Raw genomic sequence first — 13,869 nt, forward strand, 5'->3', positions numbered from 1 at the left:
AGGTTGGGGCCTATGACAAGGTTCTCCGTGCTCCCCAGAGGAGCCAGGCACTGGGCCGGGGTAGGCGATTTGTAGTGAAGACCTGCACCGCACCCACGAGGGGGCCCAGCACTGACGCATCCTCACCCCCAGCAACCCTCCAGGACTCTCTCTTTGGTCTCCCCTCTCTCCCATGGCTGCGCGCTGGCACACACCCCGGCTCAGCAGGCCGCTTTGCTTGGATCCCACGCCAGGCCTCCAGCCTCGCCGCCCGCACCCCCTTTGAACACCTTTCCCCAGGGGAGTGGGCGGAGGCGGAAGGGTGACCCGCGCATTCTCTTTCCTTGCGGGCGGGGTGCGGGGCCAAAGGCTCCCACCCCCTCCAAGGAGGAAGCGCGCCCGGAATGGGGGACGGGGAGGAGAGAAAGGGGTGCGCAGAGCCAGAGGGAGGCAGAGGGGCCTGGAGGGAGGAGAGGAGGAGGGGAGGATGGAAGGGGTAGGAAGCTGGAAGAGGAGGGGTAGGCGAGAGAGGGGAAGGAGGGAAGCGGGAGGGGAGCGGGGGGAGGAGGGGCGCCCGGAGTGGGAGGAGGGGAGGCGTTGCCCGACGCGCCCTTTCAAGTCTCCGCGCTCCCCCCCGGCGGCGGCTGCCCGGGGGCGGTGGCTCGGCGTCGCCTCCCCCGACCGCCCCCTCCAGGGCCCCTCCTCCGTGCCGCGGCCAGGCTGCCCGGCCGGCGGCGCGCTGGAAATATGAAGAGACGCTGCAGCTGCGGTGGCGGTGGCGGCCACTGCAGCTCAGAGCGGCGCACGCGGCGGCCGGGGCGGGACGCGGGGCCGGGCGCGGAGAAGTCGGGGCGGGCGGCAGAGAGGCCGGGACGCGGACCGGGCCGGGGCGCCCACAGCCGCCCGACGGCGCCCAGAGAGCGCGCGCCCCGCAGCCCCGCGCCTAGCCCGCCGGGCATGGGGCGCGCGGCAGCCGCCTGAAGCCCCGGCCTGGCCCGGCCGCACCCGGCCGGAGGCGGAGGGCAGAGCGCGCGCCCAGTTGCCCGGGCACCAAATCGGAGCGCGGCGTGCGGGAGGCCCCAGAGCAGGACTGGAAATGTCCTGGCCGCGCCGCCTCCTGCTCAGATACCTGTTCCCGGCCCTCCTGCTTCACGGTGAGTTCCCGAGGGCCACTCGAGCGCTCCCAGCCGGCGGAGGCAGCCCGGGCGCCGCGGAGCCCGCGGAGGCGTCGGGTCTGGATCGCGGCACGGCCTACACTGTCCCCTTGGCGGGGCGGGTCCGAGGGGAGCCCCGCGCCTGCCGTCTCAGCCCTGGGAGAGGGGGCTCTGCCCACTTTCCGAGGCTTGGGACCGCTCTCCCCCAGGGCGCCCGGAGCTCTTTGCTGCGGGACTGTTCTTTTTGGAAGGGTGGAAGCTCTCCCACGCAGACACCTTTTATGTCCAGAATCCGTTGCATCCAGTCCGAGGGAAACTTTCGTCCGCTCTGCTGGATTTTCCAACTGTACACTGCCATGAAATCGCCGGCTCTGCGAGCCTTTTTCCAAAATGCCAGAATGCAGCAGGCTCTTGATGTGTTCCAAGCGTTTAGGAGAGTGGAAAGAGAAACTGATCATTTGGGAAAGACACGTCTGTCTGCCTTCTGAAAACTAGTGTTTGTTGTCTGCCTGCACTTTGCCTCGCGATTGAGGCGGGGTTGTGGGGTTTTCTCCCAAGTGGACTGTTGCGTTCTCTGGGTGTAATTTTAAGAAACAGGGGACCCCTATTAGCCAAGATTTAATCATTATTACCAGTCTCCCAATGTGCACCCCAACTTGACGTCCCATTTCCTGGGCTTCCAGTGCCACTTTTCCCCAGGGGTTCTAGTAAACCTTTAGCTAGAGAACATCAGCCCTTTCAGCGGGTTCCAGAAATTGCGCTGAAAACACCAAGACAGAATTTCTTTGGGGTGGACAAGGCAGGTTTTATGGCGCGTCGGGTTCATAATCCTGACAAGCCGTGGCAGATCACGTCGTGTTGATGTGGATGTCCTGAGCAAACTGTCCCTAATGGTCAGACACCTGACGTTTCAACAGCATGACTTCACGGCTCTCCTTCCTCAACACCCACCACAGCCACCCCAAACCTGTAGCGGGCTCCGGCTTCAGAATGCATGGTAGCCAGGACTGAAAGTCAGGCTGAGGACCTTCCCTCCGGAGGATCAAGGAAAGGGAAGAATTGTTAACCCACAAGCCACCGGGATGCTGTTTTCTTTGTAGTCCTGCCCCAGGTGGATGGCTCGCATAGCTCCACAGGCTTTGTGAACTTGTCTGGCTGGGCCAGACCTGTCCAGTTGCCAAGGTGTACTCAGAGCCCCAGTGATCCCAGAATTTTAACAGTCGGGATGGAAGGCTTGCAGAGGGCAAAAAGAGAGAAGGTATAATTATAGGGTTGGACTCCTAGGCCCATCTGCTTAGAATTACAGAGCAGTTTTAATCTTTGGCTGAAACATGAAACAAATCAGAGCCAATGAACAGATCAAACAGCAGCTGCCACACACACAAGAAACAAAAGAGAGAGATGAAACAGGAAACATTGTCCCCCTTAAAAAAATTGTTGTAATATCTGTGAAGAAAAAAGATAGTATGGTCAAATGATTTTAAAATTTAAAAAATTACTTAAAAAGTTGGCATGAACAGCATTTTTTGGGGTAAAATCATTGCCTTTTAAACTACAAAAGTGATCCTCAGAGATGCAACCTTGTACACAAGGTAACTCTGAACATGTTCTCCCTATTTTGAGAGGTAGGGGTTGTAATTATACTTCCTATTTAGCAGTCCAAGCTGGGGTAGTAATGGCTGACAGGTAACAAGAGCCCAAGTATATCCTCAATGAAGACAGGAGCTCCAAATCTCCTGAGTTTGAGAATTTGAGTCTGGAATCTTCCATAACTCCGGGGATCTGAGGGAGGAGGGCTCCCCAGACCCCATGGTGTTGGGAGGGGGATTGGGGAGCAAGGAAATAACTGGGAAGGGCAGTCTGAGCTATAAATGGGAGCACAGTGGAGACAGACCGTGTGCGTGCTGGTATGTGTGTATGCATTTGTGTGTACACATATGTGCATATGTATATATGAAGATAAGATAAAAAGGGAGGTTTGCAAAGTTGAGTTGGGTTACATGGATAAACCGATAAAAAGTTATCCAATTTCAGAAAGAATCTGCAATGGCACAATTATTAAAACTAATGTTGCTCAAAGGTCTACTTAGATCCAGCAGAGAGTATCAGACTCTAGTGCAGAAAATAAACAGAGGAAATCATTGTTCAAGTTATAAATCCTCAGGATTTAAGAAAGGTTTGCCATAATTAGCAAGGATAATGTAAAGCACCAGAAAAGAATGGGATATTCTTCCTTTCCCCTTTCCCCCATGACATCTACTTGATTGAAGTACTTTTAACAGCAAATGGGTATTACTCAACCTAACCAAGGGAATGGTTTGCTGAATATGTCGTACTCAACTGATAGGCGCTTTGCAGGCATTTAAGAATTCTGTAGTAACAGATGGAGTGTGATCATATATTTAAATAGAAGTTATAAATCTGAAGGCAATTCTTGAAATCTTCTAAGGAATTAGTGATTTTTTTTCCTGATAAATAGGCATTTTATTTTGCTAACCATAGGATACCATTTGTCTATTTATGGGTCAACTTAGTAGATAAAAGCATTTGTTCTATGGTGTTGGATGTTCCTGTGATAAACTTTAATAAATTTAGTTTCACACATCATTTAGAGATTTATTTGTTACACCACCAAGTCAGGTTAAGAAGTGCAAGAAGTGCATCCTGTGTGAGGATGCAGTAGATAACCATTATGTTTGGCATCCAGTCTTTGTTCGGTTTTGTGGCTACTTCTATTTCAATTCATTGCAACTTATAAATCACCCCTAAATCCTATCAGTGAGTAAATGAGGCTCTGGCAAGACTTGAGCCTGTTGTTTATTTAAGACTGCAAATGTGGTGCGAGACCCAAGTTCAAAATTTGATGGCATAAAAGTATACATGTCAGTTTTACTTTCCTCCTCTTCAAATTCTGAAAACAATTGCAGTACTTAATCCAAATAAAGCCTATTTAATGTCATGAAGGTATGCAGCTGGAAGATGTCCATTATCACTGTTTTCTTTGCTTAGATAAAAGCCACAAAAGTTTCAGATGTCAAATTCTAGAAACCATTCAGCTCCAAAACACAGATTAGCATGAGGTATCCAGAATAAGTGTGACTGTAATGCCGCAGTGGAGTGCCTGATTCTCTTTGCTAATGGAAACATTTGATTTTGAGTTTTGGAGCTGATGTTGGGAGAGATGTTCTATTCCCACACCCTGTTTACTTTTGTAGAATTCGTTGACTTTTCTGAGAGGTGAAGGCTCTTTCAGCTCTCTCCTTTCATTAAAGCTTATTCTGTCAAGACTTTTAAAAACTTTGCAGATTACCAAATGAGAGTTTAACCGACATAATGTGAGGAAACGTTTATACAGGGTAAAATAGAAATCTTTGAAAAACTATTTTACTAAGGACAGTTTTTGTGACCAAGAAAACATTCTTTCCTGCACTTTTTTCCCTCCTCTTAGTCATAAAAAGAAAATGAAGTCTTGAAAAGAAGCATGACTCACCTGTACCCAACAGGGGCAAGGGTCTCAGACAGATGTTAAATATCCTCTGTTAAAGAGATTGACAAGCCAATTTCATTCTTTTATACTAGCTGAGTTCATTCTTTTTCCCCTTAAATGAGAAAAGAACTAAATATAGGTGGGTGATATGTCTGTGTAATTACATACTACTATTTAGGGACAGACTGATGACAATATAATCAATCAAAGGGAGGCATAAAACATTTCAGACCAGAAATAGAAGATGATGTGTTAGTGATTGTCTACATCGGTTGAAAGATACACAGCAAGGCATGTCTTCAGTAGACTCTTCCCCTGGAGTTGAAGTGATCGCAGGGAAAACCAGGAAAAAATCCGCTACCATCCTGGACGTATGAGTTCTTAATGGGTTGGTTTTGTGTACATAGGCCATTGCTTAGTCCTCTCCAGTTTGGGAATAAAATTATTGTGGAAAGTCATGTGATAGGTATGTACATCTCAAGGTTGGAGAAAGGATATGGTATCATCCTAAAATTATTAAGGATATTCTGTTCTGCAAGGGTTTTCCGGTTTCATTCATTCAGCTAACCATTTATTCAGAAAGTTCATCTATGAGGGCCTACTATGTGCCAAGTGCCACCACTTGCCAGGTCCACTGGCCGAAAGGTAGCATTCTCCCTTCCTTGAGGATTCTTGAAGAATATCTAGGTGAGAGAAGGGAAGAAATACTGATTGTAGAGCCCCAGAGCTGAGTGGATGGCACACTGCAGTTGATTGCACTATTTTCCCTGCTGGGAATCCCACAAGCGTGCACACACACACACACACACACACAGACCACAACTGTGTTGAAGAGGGTGGATGTGGCTAGTCAGCTGCAGATCCAACATGCAAACTTTGCAACCTCTGGTTCAGCTCCAGTGTCCACCCTGAGGACTATGGCACTATAAAGTGGCACAGAAAAGTAACTTGTTTTCAACTAAAGTCAAGTGGAGCCAGGAATTTGAAAACTTGACCTTATTATATTGCTCATAAAGAGAGACGACTTTTAGATATGAAGATTTTAAGATGGGCAAAAGCAGCAAGCTTACTGCAAAAAAAATGGTAATAAAAACAAGAACTTGATAAGCAGAAGTACCACAATGGTGGTAAAATTCAGTACAGTCTGCAATACATACATGCTTTTATTTCAAAAAAATGGAAACCTGTGCTGGAGTTTATCTACCAGCACCCACTTCAAAGCACACATTTACAGTAATGACTGCTTATTTAATTGGGCAGGCAATTTCATGGCTAAGTAATTACTTGCACTTAATCTAATCAGTCACATTTTATGTATCACAACAATTCTAACGAGAACACTTTTCTCAGTCTGATTATTAAAGTATACAGGGCACATTATATAAAGTACAGAAACTTGCAAAATGAACAGAAAAGAATCATTTTAAGCTCTCCATAATGGTTGATATTTTGACATTATACTTAGTCCTTTTCAAGTTCAGGTTTTTTCCCTTAAGCCTTAGAGTACATGTATAGAGATTAACCTGATCAAAGATTAGTTTAGCCCCACGTGTGCTTGAAAATTATCGTTTCCTTCCCAAATAATTTTACATTTTATTATGTGTAAAATAGATCAGAACTTTTGATTTCTCAGTCAATATAGATCGGCAGGTGAAAAACCGTGGAATATATTCATCTAGATAATTCAGATTGTTAAAACTTTGTTGAGGACGGGCACGGTGGCTCACGCCTGTAATCCCAGGCCAAGGGCCTCCTTTGGGAGGCCAAGGCGGGCAGATCACCTGCGGTCAGGAGTTGGAGACCAGCCTGGCCAACGCGGCGAAACCCCGTCTCTACTAAAAAATAAATGCAAAAATATCACCTGGGTGTGGTGGCGCATGCCTGTAATTCCAGCTTCTCGGGAGGGTGAGGCAGGAATATCGCTTGAACCCAGGAGGCGGAGGTTGCAGTGAGCCGAGATCGTGCCACTGCCCTCCAGTCTGGGTGACAGAGCAAGACTCTGTCTCAAAAAAAAAAAAACAAAAAACAAACAAGCAAAAAAAACTTTATTGAAAAATCAAGGACTTGTACATGGAGTATACTGTCCTATTTCACTTTTTCCTGTATATGTCGCAATGATTCAAGCCTAAGAGATACCTGAGCACATAGTAGGCACTCAACCATTTGTTGAATGAATGAATATTGACTTGCAAAAGTCCAGCAGGCACCCCACCCTTTTTCTTCTCTCACTGTCTACAAAGGCTCTGTTTGGTTTCCGGGTACACTGGCGTGCTTCCTTAGCACACCATGGGTTTAGGAATGAGATCTGCTGTGGATGGCTCTAGCAGAAGTACTGTGTGTGTTCCCTTTGGAAACTATGCCAAGGACTGCTTTCTATGTGCATGATCTGGTGAATTCAGGGGATGTGAACAGTTAACCTGACACACAGGCCTTTTATTTAGGGCATAAACCTCCATGTCAATGGTCAACCCTGTGCTTCCTTTCATTTAGGTAACTCTGTTTTTAAAATGTGATATCTTTGGGAATTTTCACTCTCTGGTAGCCTATGGTGATTATGATTGTAGTTTACAATCATTGTGCAGTCATTTAGGATTACTATCATGGGGTAATGTATTCCTTGGGAGTAAATCACTAGTGCACACACGCAGGTGCACACACTTACATACCACCGAGCCCTCCAGAGCTCCAGGATCTCATTTAGTGCTCTGGATATGGTTGTCTATAAAATTATGTCCTAAAGCACACAGGGCTTAATTTGTTTCTAACAGATGAACCATTCCTTCCAGAATCTACTTTATTCTCTGACATTCATTTGGAAGAAACTACTCCCTTTGCCATAATAATTTTATCAGGGCCCAGACCATTGGACCCCCAATGTTTGAGACCATTTTATGGTGGAATCATTTGGATAACGTTATTCAGAATTCCTCTGGACTGGGAACAGTCCCTGGAGAGCTTCAAGTTTAGACAGTACCATGGACTGACTTTACACATTCTCAATCAAGAGTGCCTCTGTACCTGTATAGTAGCTAGCATTTGATCAAATGAGATGATATATACATAAAGTGAATTGTCGAGTGTAATGCAAACATTAGTCATTATCATCATGATCATTATGTTTAATTTATAGAGGAAAAAGAAAGGCATATATTAGATGACTTACCCAAAACCACTTTGAAGACCAAAAACTCACAGCCATTTTCTTAATATTTGTTTAATCCTTTCAGATAACTCTTTTTTGCAGATTCACTCGCAACAAAATCTTAGTGAATGGGAACTCCATTCCCTAGTCCCCTTAATTAACATCTAGAATCTTCAACTAATCAAAATGTTGACATTATTTGTGTGTGTACTCTCACATATAGTATATGGTTTCTAACTCTTGTTTTATCTGTAAAATAAGAGGAAAAAACTCCGTAGTCTACACAGTGTTGTTACGTGTTCATTCCAATACCTTTCTATCCACAGCCCCATTCTACAGGCACGGTAGTGCCTTAAGGCACTTCTAAGAACCTGAATCGTCAAAGAAAGATCATAAGGTCAAACTGCACTTGGCATACAATGGCAGAAGTTTCAACAACTGAATATTGTGATTAACCAACACTTCCAATTACACAAGTAATCCAATTAAGTGGGGGGGGCTTAAAAACTTAGCATTATATATAATAAGCACATTTATTATTATAAATAATAGGTGTACTCACACGGGAATGGTTATTATTAGTGCGGTCCTTGAACTTTGCATTGCTAAACACTGGGATGATTGATTTATGCAATTTAAAATGTATTAAAGGAGGCTGTATATATATTTTACAAAAGTTCCTTTTCAGATGCAGATGTACTGCTAAATTACTTGCTTCCTTCCTTCCTTCCTGTCTTCTTTCCTTCCTTCCTTCCTTTCCCCCTTGCTCCCTCTCTCCTTTCCTCCCTCCCTCCCTCCCTCCTTCCTTCCTTCCTGTGACCCTCCCTTCCTTCCTTCCTTCCTTCCTTCCTTCCTGTGACCCTCCCTTCCTCCCTTCCTTCCTTCCTGTGACCCTCCCTTCCTTCCTTCCTTCCTTCCCTCCCTCCTTCCTTCCTTCCTTCCTTCCTTCCTTCCTTCCCTCCTTCCTTCCCTCCCTCCTTCCTTCCTTCCTTCCTTCCTTCCTTCCTTCCTTCCTTCCCTCCTTCCTTCCTTTTTTAATATAACTTTTTGGTAATTCTTTCCCCCACAAGATGCAAGAGATGGTCATTGCCTCTCCAACACTACACAAAAGATTTACTGTAGTTTGTTGGGAGCTGTTCCCTTCTTTTATCTTTCTCATTTATCCAGTCAATAAATCATACAAGACTGAACCATTGCAGTAGCCTTATCATCGATCTTCCTGCTTTCAATCTGTCCCCCATGTCCCTCCAAAAAAACCAGAAAAGTGATTTTTCCAAAATAAAATTCTTACCATACCACGACATTGCAGAAAATCTTTTGGTGGCCCCCCCTTCACCTTTCCAGTGAAGTCCCCACTCTGCGTTAACAGATGTGTGGTGCTCTCAACTGTGGCCCTGCCTCCCTCTGCCCCTTGTCCTAGGTCACCCCGTGCCCCCTTCTCTTAGAGCCTCCTATGCGAATCTCTCACTCCTGCCCCCCATGCTTGAGTGTGCTCAAGCACACTCCACCTAGACCACTTCTGTTCCATATTCAAGACAGAGATGCCTCTCCATGAGCCCTCAAGGAAGAATTCAGACCCTGCCCCCTCTGTCTAGAGTCCTCTACAACCCTACAGTTTCTTGCCCAACCGAGACTCCCTGGGGCAAAATGTTTGTAGATGCTATGTCCAGAACAGTGCCTGGCCCTTCAGAGCCTTACTGATTGGATGAATGAATGATTCGCTAGTTCTAGTCCCGAATTTGGAATTGACTTACTTCAGGCGATGCAACAAACACAGGAGCTCCTTAGTTGACCAGAAATCTGAGACAAGTGTCCCTGGAGGGCACACCATGACTGATTCTTGAGAAGGAAGCTTTGGGGTTTACCGGTCTAACTTTTATGCTTGGCCTCTGCTGCAGCTGAAATTGGTGCTTCAAATGACTTTTTAATTCCCAGCCATTTAACAGAAGTAGTACTCACAGGAAAGTCATCCACATTTGCCACATCAGATGAGCCAAGTAAATACTGGATACCACTTGCAGTGGTGAACTGAAGCCCTAAGAGTCAGTTTCTCCTGCCTTACTGCAACTTCTTTCACTTGACCCATTTAATTTTGCTCCTTAAGAGTAATGAAGATGTTGGGTACTTTGAAGGGAAAAGATAAAAATGGAATAAATACCAACCCCATTTTTCCATCTTAGAAATAGAATATCACCCTAGAGTGTGAGCCTGAAATCACTGTGTTCTTGGGGAGCTGTGCCAGCCTTGGGGTTCTCCATCTGGCCGCTCACATGGGTGCCCTGGCTGCACTGCCAGCCTCGCTGGGTTTCCGAGCTGTGCTCATTGTCAAATGTGAGCAATAGCAAAATGGATATTGATCTTTAGAAACCCTGGGCTATTTAATGTCTTTTTTTTCCTGCTTTCCAATGATTTGCATATTGGAGGTTCTTAGATTGTATTTCTTCCATCACTGGTTAAAAACGTAACTGTAGGCCTCCTTTCCCGTGTGACTCTAGTCTTATGAATGACCCATACAAATGCTAACCACCACTCCCTCTCTCTCTGCCTTTGAACTCCCTAACTTCCTTCCCAGAACCTCCTTCATCATTTTGACCCTTGTTCTTTGACATCCAGGCCAGTGAGACCTTAAAAGCTTCAAAGTAAACACACACACACACACACACACACACACACACAGACACACACACACAAAAACATCTTTGTTAGTCTTTATGTTTCTGGCTCCTAAAGTATAGCAAATAAAGGTTTATAGTGTTTTATTTGTTTATTTTAGAGACAGGGTCTCACTCTGTCACCCAGGCTGGAGTGCAGTGGTGCGATCATAGCTCACTGCAGCCTTGAACTTCTGGGCTCATGTGATCCTCCCGCCTCAGCCTCCTGAGTAGCTGGGACTACAGGCATGTGCCACTGTGCCTGGCTATTTTTATTTTCTTGTAGAGATGGGGTCTTGTTACCTTGCCCATGCTGGTCTCAAACTCCTAGCTTCAAGCTGTCCTTCCACCTCAGCCTCCCAGGGTGTTGGGATTACAGGCATGAGCCACTGTGCCCAGCCTCCTTGATAGGTATTTGTTAAACTGAGTAGAACTTAGCAGCAACTGCAGAGCTTGGCACTTTGGGCCTCACTCTCTTCTACATTGAGGGTCATCATTTAACTTTGCCTGGAGGCCCTATGTCCTTATACTTTGTCCTCCTCAGAGCTCAGAGTGAGCCTGGCTCCTCCATGTGACTTTACCATGATTTTAACTGTTCTGTTAGTTAGAGGGGACTTTTTGAGGGTGGTCTGAGAGCCGTATCATTATTTGAAATAATACCAACCAACATGGAATGAAAGGCAGGGTGCTAAACTGAAACCAACCTTAAGAAGTGGGTGATGTTTTTATCCCTTCATAACTGACGAGTAGACAGAGGCTTGGAGAGTTAAGTGATTTGTTTAAGGTCACTGCGCTAATACTGTGTTTTAGTGACTGCAAGATACCCATCTTTTTCGTACTTTAAGATCTCTGCAGGCCGTGTGCATCTCACAATCAGTGGGGGCCCCAGTCTCCGTTGGCCTCCAGGCAGCAGCCATGAGGGGTGACATTCCCTTTGCCTGTGTGAACCAGAACACAGATGCTCATACTGTCCCCACATCACCTTTATGTCCATCCTTGGGACTCATCTGGAGATTCATTGCAAATAGGCTGATTTTGAACATCAAGAGAGTACACATCTGAGTCAGCATGCTTGGTTTTTTTCTTCCCTCACTCATAAATTACACTCTCAGCACTGAAAAGAAAAACCACAGTGAAAATCAGACAGATCTTCTAATAGAGCAGTGGAGTGTTAATTTGACATTAGTGAAGCAAATATTTATTGCTGGAAGAATAACTGCAACTCCATATTTTCTCACACAGCATCAATCAACTACTTGGAAAGGAGAATGCCCAAAAAATATAAGGCATTGTTTTTGTTTTGTTATTGAGACACGTGCAGAGCAAACAGATTATCTGTCACACGTGCAGCAGTGCCACCAAATGCAAGAGAAATTGCCAGATGTCTTTGACTAGATACAGAAATGTCAGTGCCATCGGAGGCTGCTGCAAGTGATTCACGGGTATCTCGTGACTGTTGTTAAGGCATCATATCATTGTGTAAATGTGCGTGTTTTGTCACTGATAATAAAATAATGATACATCTTAACACTGCTTGATGTCTTGGATTCAATGCAATCCTTCAAGTGGCAGATCTAGTTTCAGACTTGAGCAGCCGAGCTATAGAGATTTTAATCCACATCCACTACACTCCTGGCTTTTATTATCTTCATGGGAAAATACTTGCAGGGTGTAGAGGTTTACAAATCAAGTTTTAGAAGATAGCTTGGTTGATACTGAGATGATGGCTTCTTTACTGAATGCTTAGTAGCATATTTATAGCAGAATCTTCCCCAACTCCCAATACCTTGTAACTTTAGCTAAAATCTATTTTAAGTTAGCCACATCAAAATCGATCATACTGTTGACCCACCAGACAGCAAGTTATACTGGTTTCATTCCTTGACTGCCTAGCAGGGACACTGAGGAAATGTTGACAGTTACCAAGATAACTACAACTGTTGAGGCTGGCAGAGGTCCAGTAAGCAGTCCCCTCTCCCCTACTCTGGTTCAGAACTAAGGGGGCGTTCAACACGAGGGTGAGGCACTTGGGGATTAAAACGTTAGTGTAGTGATAAATACTTAATCAAAAGACACAGTGTAGATGGGTGCCCATGATAGGAGTGCTCATAGTTCCCCCCGAATGTTTCAGACTTCCCATCTGGCCCAGTGCCACAGCTGAACAACTAAAGGGACATGGTCCTCACCCCCTGGGGGAGCTGATCAAAATGCATGTGCTTTGTAAATAGGCTGGTTTTGAAAAGAGAAAAATGACTGAATCAAGCATGCTTGCTTCCACTTCCATAACTCATGTGACTTCACCAGGGGAGGGCAGAATGAGGGAGGGGGAGGGAATGCCCAGGAGTACCACTCTAGTGGAGATGCCTTGCCTCAATGGAACTTGAGGCCTCAGGAAAGGAAGCCCTGGCTTAATAACCATGACCATGAATAATAACAACACTAGGCAGAGTTTTCATGTTTAGAGTTTGCCCCATTCTAGCTCAGGCAAGAATCAGGGGACTTGGCTAAACAGGGCTGAGTGAGGTTGCCTTTAATTTGAACATGGCACTCTCCTCTTTTGTCTAGAATCTCTTTTCACAATTTTCATTTAGTTGAGTAATACCCTTAGGTATATTTGTCTCACTGACATTCATTGCATGTAAAATCTGTAAGAACGATCAGAAGCTGTCTTTCCATCTCAAAGCCAGAATTCTACTTAGAGGGAAAATCTGGGAGTTCAGATACGGAAAATTCTGTCTTCTCAACACCAAGACTTTCCATCAAAAACTAGTTTAGTCTTTTGAATGTTTTGTCCACATGATGGTAAATATCTGAATATTTAACAGATATCTGAAGTTACCATCCTGCAGGTCTCAGTTTATCCAGGTAGATTTTCGTCATGTTGCTGTAAGTGACTATATTCTGAATCTAACTTCTCATTTTCAAATCATCTCTCAGAAACCGTGCCTTCTCTATGAAGCTATTTATGTGTTGATTAAAAAATATAATTGCTTCCTCACCAGTAGCATTCAAACAGGTACATTTTATTTATTTTGTATATTTAAAAAAAGTTTGTACAGTTGTCTAACTAGTGTCTTTTCTGCTAACACAGGGCTAAATACGTAGTAGGTCCGCCATAAATGCCTGTTGATTTGTTAATCACTTCAGGAGTGAATATCAGAGGAGACCGTGGCTTTCAGATAATAATTCCACCAGTTTTAATTGCTTTATTCTGAACATTAGGCTGGTGGTAGTTTTGCATGGGTAGATTGTGGCCAACCTGCATGACTCGTTCTGAAGATAAGTTTACTGCTAGTATGTCTTTACCCCTGGGAAATAAACATATGTAATCTTCTTGCCATTATTCTTAATTTAAAGCCCTGTATTGTATGTTTAGGTTATTTCTGGCCTTGTGAGGGTGAGGGGCTGGACTTGGAAGATAATTGGGGGGGAAATGTCACACCACGTCCCTATTGT

At 45.1% G+C, this 13,869-nt stretch overlaps 1 protein-coding gene across 1 annotated transcript in view; it reads left to right on the forward strand.

Annotated features, from left to right (window-relative positions):
* Positions 729–13,869, forward strand: part of APCDD1 (APC down-regulated 1) — a 35,315-nt gene continuing 22,174 nt past the window's right edge. Inside the window, exon 1 of the mRNA NM_153000.5 lies at positions 729–1,133. Coding sequence (NP_694545.1) covers positions 1,076–1,133 — 58 coding nt within the window. The 5' untranslated portion in view covers positions 729–1,075. The remainder of the gene's footprint in view (positions 1,134–13,869) is intronic.

Source organism: Homo sapiens, chromosome 18, assembly GCF_000001405.40.
Source record: "Homo sapiens chromosome 18, GRCh38.p14 Primary Assembly".
In the NCBI taxonomy this organism is placed as follows: Eukaryota; Metazoa; Chordata; class Mammalia; order Primates; family Hominidae; genus Homo; species Homo sapiens.